The following is a 12,564-nucleotide window of genomic DNA, read 5'->3' as shown; positions in this document are numbered from 1 at the left end:
TCTCCATTTACTTTGTGTGTGTGTGTGTGTGTGTGTGTGTGTGTGTGTGTTTTGAATGTGCTGCCTTAATAGAAAAGTGGCTCTGTGTTGTCATTGGCTTACAGGAATTAGTGTGCTCACCCACTGCGGGTCAAGGACAGCGTATGACAAAGGACCGTGGTCATGTGGCGGACTGTTCTTTTCAAAGAGGCAGTAGTTCCAAGACTCATGCTCCCTGGGTCACTAAGTTCTTCATGTGTTACATCAATACTTTGGAGAGAGGCCACCCAGAATCTCTTAAAAAGTATTCTAAATAACACAGAGATATTTTTCCACAGGAAAAAGCTCAGTAGCTCGAATGTTAGTTTTCTGCCCCACATTGCCCAATGTTGTGACTATTGCACTGGTTTTTCCAGGGTTCACCTTTAGGTTTAATTTCCTGAAATTGATCTGCTTGGTTACACTGGCTTTATTTTATACTCTTTTGCAAAGAGGAGAAATGGCAGTGAGCAGATGGCATTTTATTAAGTTTTTGCTTCAAAAAAATTAAACAGCAATGTAGCATCCCTGCTAGTTTTCTTACAGGCACCTAATAGTCATCCTCTGGGTCTGTGTCAGAACTGATATTTACCATAGATGAATCACCAAAGTGCCACTGAGCCAGCATTCCCAGTGGGGATTCCAAATTTGCCACACTTGTGGGGCTGTCTAGTTTTGTTTGTTTGTTTTTGAGATGGCGTCTCGCTCTCTTGCCCAGGCTGGAGTGCAGTGGCAGCGATCTCGGCTCACTGCAACCTCCGCCTCCCTGGTTCAAGTGATTCTCCTGCCTCAGCCTCCTGAGCAGCTGGGACTACAGGCACCTGCCACCACGCCCGGCTAATTTTTGGATTTTTAGTAGAGATGGGGGATTTCACCATGTTAGCCAGGCTGGTCTCGAACTCCTGACCTCAAGTGATCCACCTGCCTTGGCCTCCCAAAGTGCTGGGATTACAGGCGTGAGCCACTGCGCCTGGTCAGGGCTGTCGAGTTTTATAGTAGTTCCTCCATCCTTCTAAATTCTAACCCTGCTGGAGCCCCTCTGAGAATTGGAGGAGCCAGCTGGATGGGAGAGAGGCAGTCCCCACACCAACTCCACAAGCAGGTGCACCCCCAGCAGGCCCAAAGGATTCCAAGAGGAAGTGAATCCAGCCCGGTGTTCGGAGTGAGGTTTACTTTGCACCACTCTTTTTTAGGAAAATTGGGGTTGCTGGCCCTGAGCACATCACCCTTTGCCAGCCTTTTATCTCCCCCTGGGTTCTGTGGCCGCCAGCTTCTTAAGCAGTTGTTAAGTGTGTGTTATTATTTTACTGTTTAACAGTGAGCTCCTGGGCCCCGGGCCTGACTTCACCAGAAGACCACCTTTTGCCAGTGCTGTTCTGATAACTTAGCCAGAATGAAGTGTTAAGTGGAGGATAATTGTTATTTGCTTTTAATTTCCTGACCTTAGAAAAAGAAGGAAAGCACAGTGCTGATGGGGTGGTGAGTGCTGAAGGAAGAGTGCTGTCTCTGAGTTTGCATGGGGAGAGCCTCGTGTTCTCCTCCTTCAGACTGAGCCAGTGTGGACTCCAGTATCAGACACACTGGGTCTGAATCCCACCTCTGCCATTTTCTAGCTGTGGACCTCAGTCAAATGACTCAGCCCATCTAAACTTCAGTGTCCCTCGCTGGCAAATGGGGTTAGTAATAGTACTCCACTGCGAGGGTCTTTCTAGGGTTTCAAATGCTCGTTCATCCAATCCCTGGCAGAAAGGACCTACTCAATGCATGGTAGTCCATGTCCATTTATTATTAGCCATGGTTAAAACCTGCTTCTCTGGCCAGGTGCAGTGGCTCATGCCTGTAATCCCAGCACTTTGGGAGGTCAAGGCAGGTGGATCACTTGAGGTCAGGAGTTCGAGGCTAGCCTGGCCAACATGGCGAAACCCCGTCTCTACTAAAAATACAAAAATTAGCCGAGCATGGTGGTGGGTGCCTGTACTCCCAGCTACTCCGGAGGCTGAGGCAGGAGAATTGCTTGAACCTGGGAGGAGGAGGTTGCAGTGAGCTGAGATTGCGCCACTGCACTCCAGCCTGAATGACAGAGTAAGGCCCTGTCTCAATAAATAAATAAAACCTGCTTCTCAAACTTCCCCTTATCTCTCCTGTCTCCCAGCATTTTCTCCCCATTTGAATTTTTGGGCCTCACAGTATCATGGTCACGTCTTGAGATGGGTTTTGCCCAAGTATTAGATGACTTTTTGATTATCCTTTTTTTTTTTTTTTTTTTTTTGAGACAGGGTCTCACTCTGTCACCCAGGCTGTGTCGCCCAGGCTGGAGTGCAGTGGTGCAATCTCGGCTCACTGCAACCTCTGCCTCCCAGTTTCAAGCAATTCTCCTGCCTCAGCCTCCTGAGTAGCTGGGATTACAGGTGTGCACCACCATGCCTGACTAATTTTTGTAGTAATTTTTGTATTTTCACCATGTTGGACAGGCTGGTCTCGAATGCCTGATCTCAAGTGATCCTCCTGCCTTGGCCTCCCAAAGTGCTGGGATTACAGGTGTGAGCCACCACGCCTGGCTTGATTATTCCTGATGAATCACTTTACATGGATGATTGACAGCTCCTGGGGCATATTCCATTCCACTTCAGGTTTTTCCTCTTATTTCCCTCATCTTGCTCTTGTCTCAACACCCATCCCCCCAGCCTCTCTGAACTTAGAATGTCATGTGGAATACTATTCAGTGAAGGGTTTGGGGGCTTTTTTAAAGAATTGACTGTCCTGGCTGGGCATGGTGGCTCACACCTATAATCCCAGCAAATTTGGGAAGCTGAGGCGGGCAGATTGCTTGAGCCCAGGAGTTCTAGACCCGCCTGGAAAAGATGACAAAAACTCCATCTCTCCAAAAAATACAAAAATTAGCTGGACACGGCAGTGTGCCCCTGTACCCCAGCTACTCAGGAGGCAGAGATGGGAGGATTGCTTGAGCCCCGAAGGTTGAAGCTGTAGTGAGCTGTAATCCCATTACTGCACTCCAGCTTGGGTGACAGAATAAAACCTCGTCTCAAAACAAACAAAAAGAATGAATTGACTGTCCTTACACTCTATTTGGGTCTCCCTGAAAACTATTCATGCTTCAACTTTTCTACACTTTGTTCTGGCATGACTAATATATAACAACTGGGCATTAAATGTACTATATATAAAATTCCAGATCAGAGAATGGAAACACTTAAAAATAAAAAAATTTTAAAAAGGGGTTGGCTTATCTGGGCTATTTGGAAACCGTTCAGTGGGGCAGTATAATTTTTATTTTCAGAAGCTTATGGATTGCACCCCACCCAAGCTTCCCGCGCACCTAAGAAGGCTGGCAGAAGACGCCCTGCCAAGTTTCCTTGCGAGTGCAGTAAAGGAGTAATCCTCTGCCCTCTGGTTTTCCTTTCAAAGAAACTAGGGACAGGCGGTGGCCTTGGCTGCCTTGGCCATGAGCTTCCCTGAGCCGGGTAGCTGGTGGGCTAGTGGGGCCGTTGGTGGCAGGTGCAGAAATGGTACCACACTCACTGTCCCATTGCCCAGAAAGAACATTTACAAGTCTGGGGAGAGCGCTCGTAATGGTTGCTGAGTTTGGAGGACAGTTATGTTACAGTCTTGGTGGCTTTTTGATGAATGGTCAGATAAAGCTTCACTATAAACCTATCCAGTTTTACACAGAAAGGACATCTTTTTTACATTTAAAGTTGTGTGTGTGTATATGGGGGAAAGTGGTGGTGTTATAGCTCTGGAGGAAATTAAACCATAGGAAATAGTAAAAACAAGGTCTCTGTGTTCCCACTGTTGACAATTCACAAGTTAAATGGTGGAATGAGAAGGGATAAAAAGGATTTCAGGGGTGCACCTGAGTGCTGTCGCACACATAGGGGTCAGAGTCTAGAATCCCAGTGCTGGGAGGACTTGAGAAGCCATAGATTCCACCCCCGTGGTTTACAGAGAAGGGAATGAAATCCCCATCAATTTGGCCTTTGGCCTAAGCCCTGCTTCTAAAAACCCTTTAGAAGTCTGGCTTGTCATCCCAAAGTGCAGTCCACCAGCTTCCGTCAGCTTGGAAGAGACAGCGCCTCTGCAAGCTAAAACTCAGCTCACGTCCCGGTTGGCAACTGGCAAGAAGGCGGCTTCCCAGTCTTCTGAGAACTGGGTTTCCCTTCTAACTCAGTGGCACCCTCTCTGGGCCCTGGTGGAGAATCACTTAGGAAAGAAGCAGGCTGCTGTCCTCCAGAGTTCCACCCATACCCCTACCATTGACCCTACTCCTACCACTACCCCTCACCCCCATCCCTCACCCCCACCCCCACCCCAACCCCTCACCCCATCCTCACCCCCACCTCTACTCTCCACCCCCACCCCTACCCCCACCCCTACCCTCCACCCCCACCCTACCCCCACCCCTACCCCCACCCCCACCCCTGACCCCCCAACCTCTCACCTCCACCCCTACCCCTCACCCCCACCCCTACCCCTCACCCCTACCCCTCACCCTCACCCCCAACCCTTTCCCTCACCCCCACCCCTACCCCTCACCCCCACCCCTACCCCTCCCCCTCACCCCCATCCTCACCCCCACGCCTACCCTCCACCCCTACCATCACCCCTCTGGGCTAGAGCAGAGCAGAGTGAAAAGTAGCTTAGAGAAGCGAGGATCAGGTGTGCACAGGGTTCCTAACTCTGCTGATATCTTGGGAGGTGCTGGGAAATTTTCCAGTTTACTGGCAGAATTACTCTCCTCCCTAAATTTCAAAAAGCAGAGAAGGACGTTATCTATTCTCTTTTCTGGGGGAAAAAAAAAGTTTTTTTTTGGAGACAGAGGCTCACTCTGTTGCCCAGGCTGGAGTGCAGTGGCACGTTCTCATCACTGCAACCTCCACCAGGTTCAAGTAATTCTCCCTCACCTCAGCCTCCTGAGTAGCTGGGATTACAGGTGTGCACCACCATGCCCGGCTAATTTTTGTATTTTTAGTAGAGATAGTGTTTCACCACGGTGGCCAGGCAGGTCTCAAACTCCTGGCCTCAAGTGATTCACCCGTCTCTGCCTCCCAAAGTGCTGGAATTACAGGCCTGAGCCACCACGGCCAGCCAGGATGCTAACTATTCTTAAAGGATAGTTAGATGTGCAAAGGAGTTTGGACTTCTTTGTGAGGCTAACAGAGAGTCATTGAAGAGTACAAAGCTGGAGCAAGGTGACCAGAGTAAGGGGAAGGGGGTAAGCCTGGAGGCAGGGGATGGGTGAGGAGGCTGCTGCAGGTCCAGGGGGGCAGGGGAAGATGGCAGCCTGACTGGGGTGGTGGCAGTGAAGGATTTTTGAGATATGTTGGTGGTAAAAGCAGCAAGGCTTGGTGGTTGATGGGAGGTGGATGAGAAGGGAGAGAACTGATAAGGGTGACTCACAGGTCTCTCCTTGGGCAACCGGGTGGCCACGGTGCTGTACTCACAGAGGGGCTGGTGGAAGAGGAGGTGGAGGCTTTGAGGAACAAGGTAATGAGTCTGAGATTCAAGGGTTGGGCAAGCAGAAAGAGAAAAGTTGAGCAATGGAAGATTAGGGTTCTGTGTAGAGATTGAGAAATGTTGAGGCTTCAGCACAGTCCACAGCACATTCGAGTACAACACTGAGCAGAAATGCTGCTGTTTTAGAAGAGGGAGGCAAAGGATCACTCGATCATGCTCACTGCTCCACACTCCGAGATTCACTCACAGTCATGGGTACAGGGTGGTGCATGCGGTTCCCTCCGTGGCTTTTACATGGTCCCAAAGCGGTTGTCCCTCTTCCCTCTAATAAAGGAATAAAGGCAAATGTTCCCGCATGCTTTCTTCTCCATCATGACAGAAAGGAAGAATTTTTTTCTAAGGATTTTACTAAATAGAAAAAAATAGATATGTCCTTTCCTTTTTTCTTTTTTAAACTCCTTTTCACTAGAATGATCTTGCCCTGGGCCCGTTATGCTAGAGCTGGGAATTTGTGTGGGGAAAGGAACACATCGAGGTGTTAAGAGAATGTAAAGAAAATATTTTCCATCTCTGGTGAGAACTGCTGAGGAATGAGCTGATGTGGGAGAGAGAATTTAGAATTGATGTAGAGAAGACTTTCTTACAGAGCAGACTTGGAAGACAAGCTGTGGAACTGTGTTCTGCAAAGATCAGAGGGAGTCAGAGAGACAGCTTTTTGTCTGTAGAGTTTCATGGGAGGCCTCCAGGAACCCTTGGCAGGAGGTGCCTGGAGACCCATGAAAGGGAAAGTCCTACTTCTGGGCCTTACTTTGAATTTCCTCCTCTTAAACCTCAGGCCCAGACAAAACCTCTTTCCTCTCCAATATCCTAGGCGCTGCCTAGCTCGAGAAAGGACAAGGTGGGCAAAGTTAGAATGTCATTTATTTCAGCAGCTTGAGAAGAAATTGAAACTCCAGTCCCTGTTCCGTTTCTGACCCTCAGTGACCTTAGGCAAGCCACTAAACTTTTCAGGCCTCAGTTTTCTCAGCTGTAAGATGGGTGGGAATAGTACCTCCTGCAGTTCTGGGGTGTTAGATAACGCATGTAAGTGCCTGGCACATAGTAAGCCTTCAATAAAAGTCAGCTGTGGTTGTTACTGATCATGACTGTCCTGTCTCCCTTGCTGGAAGAACAAATTACTAGATGTAAAAAGTCATTTAAAAGCAAAAGGTACTAGGCAAAAGTTGTGATGCTATCAATTACTATTATTAATAATAGGTTCCTAATTACTTTTGCCACGGTATTAAGTGAAGGCCTCTTTGGGTGGGTGATGACTGAGAAAATGGGAACTATTATTAATGGAGCTGACAGCTCCTGTTACTAGCTCCATTGACATAATATTTCTCTCTGGGAATCCTTTGACAAATCAGCTGAATTTCCTATTCCCTTACCCTAAGCTCTGTAAATTTGATCCACATGTCTCCAGTGTTGTTTCTGTAGATTAATAATGGAGAAAGGAGGAGGAGTCAGGCCTGCACTGGGCTCTCCCAGCTGTTTGGCCTGTCGTGGGTTTCAGCCTGTAGTTGGGGTGGTTTTCCCTTTTGTTTTACTTGTTTTAAAGCTTACGGCCAGCTCTTCCCAATGTGTTTGGTTACTCAGCTGTCAGGGAGAGTTTCTGCTTTAGGGACTGGGGCCCTGGCAGGGGGCTGCGGGGGAGAGCCCAATCATGAACTCTTCCTCCTCCTCCAACAGAAACAAAGCTTGAAGGAAGTGCTTTGAAGCAGTGCTTTGCTAAGTCAGCACTGGATGTGATGAGAGGGGTCGCTGCCATCCAGGAGAGGCAAAGGGAGATGGAGAGGGGGCCTTCACCACATCAGCCAGGAGGAGAGCGGGGAGGCCTGGGTCAGGGGAAGGTCAAGCTAGGAGGGCAGGACTGACCATCAGCTGAACCTGCAGAACGGTCAGAGAACACACTGAGGCCCTGGGCTGGAGGAAGACCTCTGTGTGCATTTCCTCAACAAAGAAAAACACATGGGGTTCAGCACAGGGTGTCCATGAGTGAAATGGGCAGTAATAATACAGCCATATTGTCATATGCACCAGCCACACATAAGGACAGCCATGAGTGAGCTTTGGTGATGTGTTCACTGGACTCTGAGCTCACAGAGGAGTTAAGTATATGCATTGTGGAACCAGTCCATCCCAGATTTGAATCCTAGCTCTTCCACTTACCTGAGCAAGTTACTCAAAGTCTCTGAATGGCAGTAGCCCAGTATCTCAAATGGAAGTCAGTAGTACCCATCACACAGGGTTTTTTTGTTTTGTTTTGTTTTGTTTTTTGAGACACAGTCTCTGTTGCCAGGCTGGAGTACAGTGGCGTGATCTCAGCTCACTGCAAACTCTGCCTCCCGGGTTCAAGCGATGCTCCTGCCTCAGCCTCCCGAGTAGCTGGGATTACAGGTTAATTTTGTATTAAAATGAAAAAACTAGCCACCACACCTGGCTAATTTTTGTATTTTTAATAGAGATGGGGTTTCTCCGTGTTGGCCAGGCTGGTCTCAAACCCCTGACCTCAAGTGATTTACCCACCTCAGCCTCCCAAAGTGCTGGGATTACATGTGTGATCCACTGTGCCTGGCCCTTATAGGGTTGTTGGAAGAATAAATGAGATAACGTAAATGAAGCCTATGTTCCCAGCACAAAGTAAAAATAATAGCAACAGCACTTGGTAGAGCATGTACTCTGAGCCAGGCATTGGTCCAAGCATTGACCCCCAGTTACTCAGTTAATCCTCACAGCAGCCCTGTGAGCTAGGTACTCTAGTTATCTCTAGTTAACAGATGATGAACTGATGTAGAGTCTAAGTAACCTGACCAAGATCACACCACTGGTTACGTGACAGCCAGAATTACGAACCCCAACATTCTGCTCCAAAGCCCTGTCTGCTGTACCTGTTGCTGCTGTTGTCCTTGTTACATCACACGTGTTTAGGGACTTCTAACCCAGACTTGGCCACATCCCGGTGCTCTCCAGTTATCTCTAGGAATTTTCAGAGATTTTCTCCAAAGTGATTAAATTCCTGTGGGTATTTTTCTTTAAAAAAGAAAAAAAAAAAGTTTGTGGGTGAGTGTTGGAAAAAGAAAATCTGTCCATCAAAGAAACAGTGGTTACCAAAAGTTGGGAATCCCTATCTAGATTCTGACTGCAACTAGAATCTCTGTGGCCACATGCTCTTAAGAGCCAACATGTAATTTTAAACCAGTCTGATTTCACTTTTCTGGTGCTTTCTAAGAAGCCACATAGTGAGTTGGAGAAATTTACAGGCTGTCACCCTCTGGGATTGATTCTGACAGTTCTGCTCCACTGCTGTTGAAGTGTTAATGAAAAACATTAATTGGACTTGGCCCGTGGCTAGGACACGTCCCCTTCTTGAAGTGGAGAAGGCAGCATCCCTTTTGAATGGTTGCTCCCAGCATGGGGAAAGGAGAGGACTCAGGGCGGCACTGCCCTTCAGGAAGTCAGGATGGGCATTTACATCTGACTCAGCCATCCCTGAGCTGCATGAAAACAAAGTCAGGTCTCTTTGTCACCCCAGAACCCTAAGTATAGCACAATACCTGGGCTGAGTCAGGCACTCTGTAAATATTCAACGAGCGAGTGAATGAATGCTTGTATGATCCAGGAGCCTGGGCTGAGTCAGGCACTCTGTAAATATTCAGCAAGTGAGTGAATGAATGCTTCTATGATCCAGGAGCCCAAGAAGGCCAGTTTCTTGAGTACCTCCAAGAAACGATGGTCTCCACGTGCTTAAAACCACAGCTACGAGTGAGCTACTTCTCATTCTGGCCCCTATAGCACCGTCCACAGTCAAAGTTCTCAAGTCCTCAAGGCTCAGAGAGATTTTACCTCCTGAACCTCTCTCTGTCAAGAGCAGGGGAGCAGGGCTGAGCCCTGCCTGCAGCAGGCTGGGGCCCACTGAACTTCCACTCCTTCCTAAGTGTGACCTGTCTGCCTTCTTTCCCCATAGGTGTCCTCTCCCTCCCCGCATACTTCAGCCCCTACAACGGCGGGTCCCTGGGCCATGACGAGCGAGCCGATGCCTATGCCCAGCTGGAGCTCCGAACCCTGGAGCAGTCCCTCCTGGCCACCTGCGTGGGCAGCATCTCGGAGCTGAGTAAGTGTGGCCTCAGTGTCTAGCTGGATGGTAGAGCAACGGCGAGGTCTCAGGGCTGGGGGAAGGCAGGGAGAGCTCGCCTCCTCCTCCTCCAAGTGCTCTGGCCTCCTCCTCCTCCAAGTGCCTTGCCTTCCCTGAAAGCTAGATCTTTCTAGACCAGAGGTTGCAAATACACAAATCTGGATTTCTGGTTTCTCTTGAAAAAACAAATGATCTAGCAACATGGTACCCCATTCCTGCACAGCAGTGACCCACGGGAGCTAAGTAGCAGCAAAGTGGGTGGCATGTGTTCCCCACTTTGCCACAGACCTGGGTTTCATCCTGGGGAGGCTGTTTCATTAATTTCACCTGCCTGGCCCCACAGGCTCTGAATTCACAACTGGTGCTCTTTCTCGAAAGAAAGCACACCCAAAGCCTCAATATAGTAAAAGGAAGATAACAATAGAGCCCCTCTGGCTGAAGGCAGGTGTGGCCAGGTGGCATCTCCCAGGACTCAGGGCTCTGTGGCACACACTTGGAACTTGATGTGGCTCTTTACCATTGACAGCTGCTTCCAGGGTGTTAGGAGAGATGAAATCCCATGCCAGCTCCTGAGCTCCCCCTCTCATTACCCATTTGATTTGAGAAATCTGACTACATCCTCTGCTGCCTTCATTCCCCCTCGCTCTGTTGAGATCACCCAGTGGAGGGCAGTGACACAGCAGGGGTCATAGCACACAGCATGGGCACACCTGGAGTTTCCCTCTGCTCCGGCCTTCTCCGTTTGTGATTCCCTCAAGTCTTCTGACCCCTGAACAATAAACGGCAAGCCTCTGTTTCTTCAGGTCATGGCTTCCTCCTTCCCTGCATTCTTCTGCCCCCTCTACAGACAGGAAATGAAGGTGCCTGGTTCAAGGTCACAGAGCAGAGCTGCAATAGGGCTGGGAGAGAAAGCAGGATTTCTGACTCCCTGTCTCCTGGTGACATTACAGTAGGCAGGGCCAGGATGTTGTTGCCTGGGTCCCCTGTCCCCTGAGGGGCCCCACAGGAAGTGGGTTCTGGTTTCATCTCCGTCCCTGAGAAGTGTCTCCTGGACAATGGGCTGTCTTGGGCCCTCGCACAGTCATGCTTTGGTGAGTTCTTGTGCCCTGCAGACAGTAAGGGACACAGCCCCTGGTCCACTGGAGAGCACCTTGGTTTTACTTTACACTTGAACATTAAGTGAGCGCCTTCTGTGTGCAAGACACCATTGTGAAGCACCATATTCACTTTTTATCTCATTTGTTCCTCAGAACAATGCAGCAAGTTATGTCCTGATGAGAGAACTGAGGCTTAGAGAAGAAAAGTGATTTTCTCCAAGTCACACGGATCAGAGCTGGGGGCTTGACTCTGGACGTGTCTAGGGCTGTTGGCCCCCTGGATAAGACTAGCAGCCCAGCCACCAGCTCCTTGGGGCAGCTGAGATCAAGATCGGGGCTGATCCTTTGCCTCTTCTCATGGTGGCCTCATGCCCATTACAACCCCAGCCCAGCCTAAGGGAGGAGCATTTAGAGGCCTCCCCTAGGTAAGGGCTTGACATCATTCTGCCATTACCGCTAGCCAAGGGGCCAAGACCTGTTGGCTCTACCACTTACAACAATCCTGAGTTTTAGTCTGCCCCTTTCACCAACTCCACTGCTACCAACTGAGCCCAAGCTGACCATTTGTTTTGTTTTGTTTTGTTTTTGAGATGGAGTCTCGCTCTGTCACCCAGGCTGGAGTGTGGTGGTACAAACTTGGCTCACTGCAACCTCCGCCTCCAGATTCAAGAGATTCTCCTGCCTTTACCTCCCTAGTAGCTGGGACTATAGGTGTGCACTACCACACCTAGCTAATTTTTGTATTTTTAGTAGAGACGGGGTTTCACCATGTTGGCCAGGCTGGTCTCGAACTCCTCACCTCAAGTGATTCCCCACTTTGGCCTCCCGAAGTGCTAGGATTATAGGCATGAGCCACTGCACCTAGCCCCAAGCTGCCCATTTAAAGCTTAAATTGGGTTGTGTCACTCATCTGCTCGATATCTATCCCCTCTATCCCCCGACAATGGCTTCCCGGCTCACTCGGTAAAATCCAAAATCCTCACTCTGGCCCAGGATCCATATATGATCTGACTTCATCACTTCATCCTCTTCTCTGTGGACTGCACTCCAGCTGCCTGGCCTCCTGGCTAAGGACCCTCCCACTCCAGAGCCTTCACACTGGCTTTCCCTCTGCCTGCAACACTTTCCCCTTGATCCTCAAGTACATTGGTCCTTCACATTTTCAAGCCTCTGCCCAAATGGCACCTTCTCATTCAGGCCTTCCATGAGTACCACACTCTCATTCCACTGTCTTCCCTCTTGTGGCTTTGATTTTATTAAAGCACTGATCACCACTTGACATGTATTATATATTTACTTACGAATAGTTTATCATCTCTCTCCTCTGACTAGAAGAGTCAGCTTCCTGAGATTGGAAACTTTATCTCCTTTGTCCACGGCTGTATCCTCATTGCTTAGAACAGTACCTGGTACAGAGAACAGTACCTGAGGTGCAGCGTGCACACGTGTGTGTGTGTGTCTGCACACATGCATGCCTGTGAGTATGCATGTTCATGTGTTAGGAGGAATGAGGTCTATCCCACCAAATCTTTTCTCCTAAAACTCGCCTAGGATTTGTCCACATCCTGGCCCAGCCACTCCTCAGGGCCAAAGGAAGAAGCCTCCTTACAGCATCTTTTCACAGACCAGAGAACAGGCTGTGTCATGTGCCAAGTTGCCCTGTTCCTCCCTTTGAAACCAGGGCTTTTGCTAACCTGCTGTGGAGGAGGGAGGAGACAGAGGTGGAGGCAGATATTGCAGTTTTTCTCCCTGAGACTAAAGAACTTAATGAGGCTAGTGATACTTGGCACTGAACCCCTT

The 12,564-nt window shown here is 49.1% G+C and overlaps 1 protein-coding gene across 1 annotated transcript in view, besides 2 other annotated features; it reads left to right on the top strand.

Annotated features, from left to right (window-relative positions):
- The window catches only part of ABTB2 (ankyrin repeat and BTB domain containing 2), a 207,024-nt gene that overhangs the window by 143,821 nt on the left and 50,639 nt on the right, over nt 1-12,564 (top strand). Inside the window, exon 2 of the mRNA NM_145804.3 lies at nt 9,500-9,646. Coding sequence (NP_665803.2) covers nt 9,500-9,646 — 147 coding nt within the window. The remainder of the gene's footprint in view (nt 1-9,499; nt 9,647-12,564) is intronic.
- Nucleotides 9,053-9,659: an enhancer, noted in NCBI's record as "H3K27ac-H3K4me1 hESC enhancer chr11:34226078-34226684 (GRCh37/hg19 assembly coordinates)". NCBI's record gives its function as "activates a minimal SCP1, AML or CMV promoter by ChIP-STARR-seq in naive H9 embryonic stem cells {active_cell/tissue: H9 hESC(naive)}" and the evidence as "EXISTENCE:reporter gene assay evidence [ECO:0000049][PMID:30033119]".
- Nucleotides 10,546-10,615: an enhancer, noted in NCBI's record as "active region_4598". NCBI's record gives its function as "activates an Ori minimal core promoter by ATAC-STARR-seq in GM12878 lymphoblastoid cells {active_cell/tissue: GM12878}" and the evidence as "EXISTENCE:reporter gene assay evidence [ECO:0000049][PMID:35858748]".

Source organism: Homo sapiens, chromosome 11 (genome assembly GCF_000001405.40).
Source record: "Homo sapiens chromosome 11, GRCh38.p14 Primary Assembly".
NCBI classification, from domain to species: domain Eukaryota; kingdom Metazoa; phylum Chordata; class Mammalia; order Primates; family Hominidae; genus Homo; species Homo sapiens.
The sequence above is the reverse complement of the archived record's forward strand: the minus strand, read 5'-3'. Positions and strand labels throughout refer to the sequence as shown.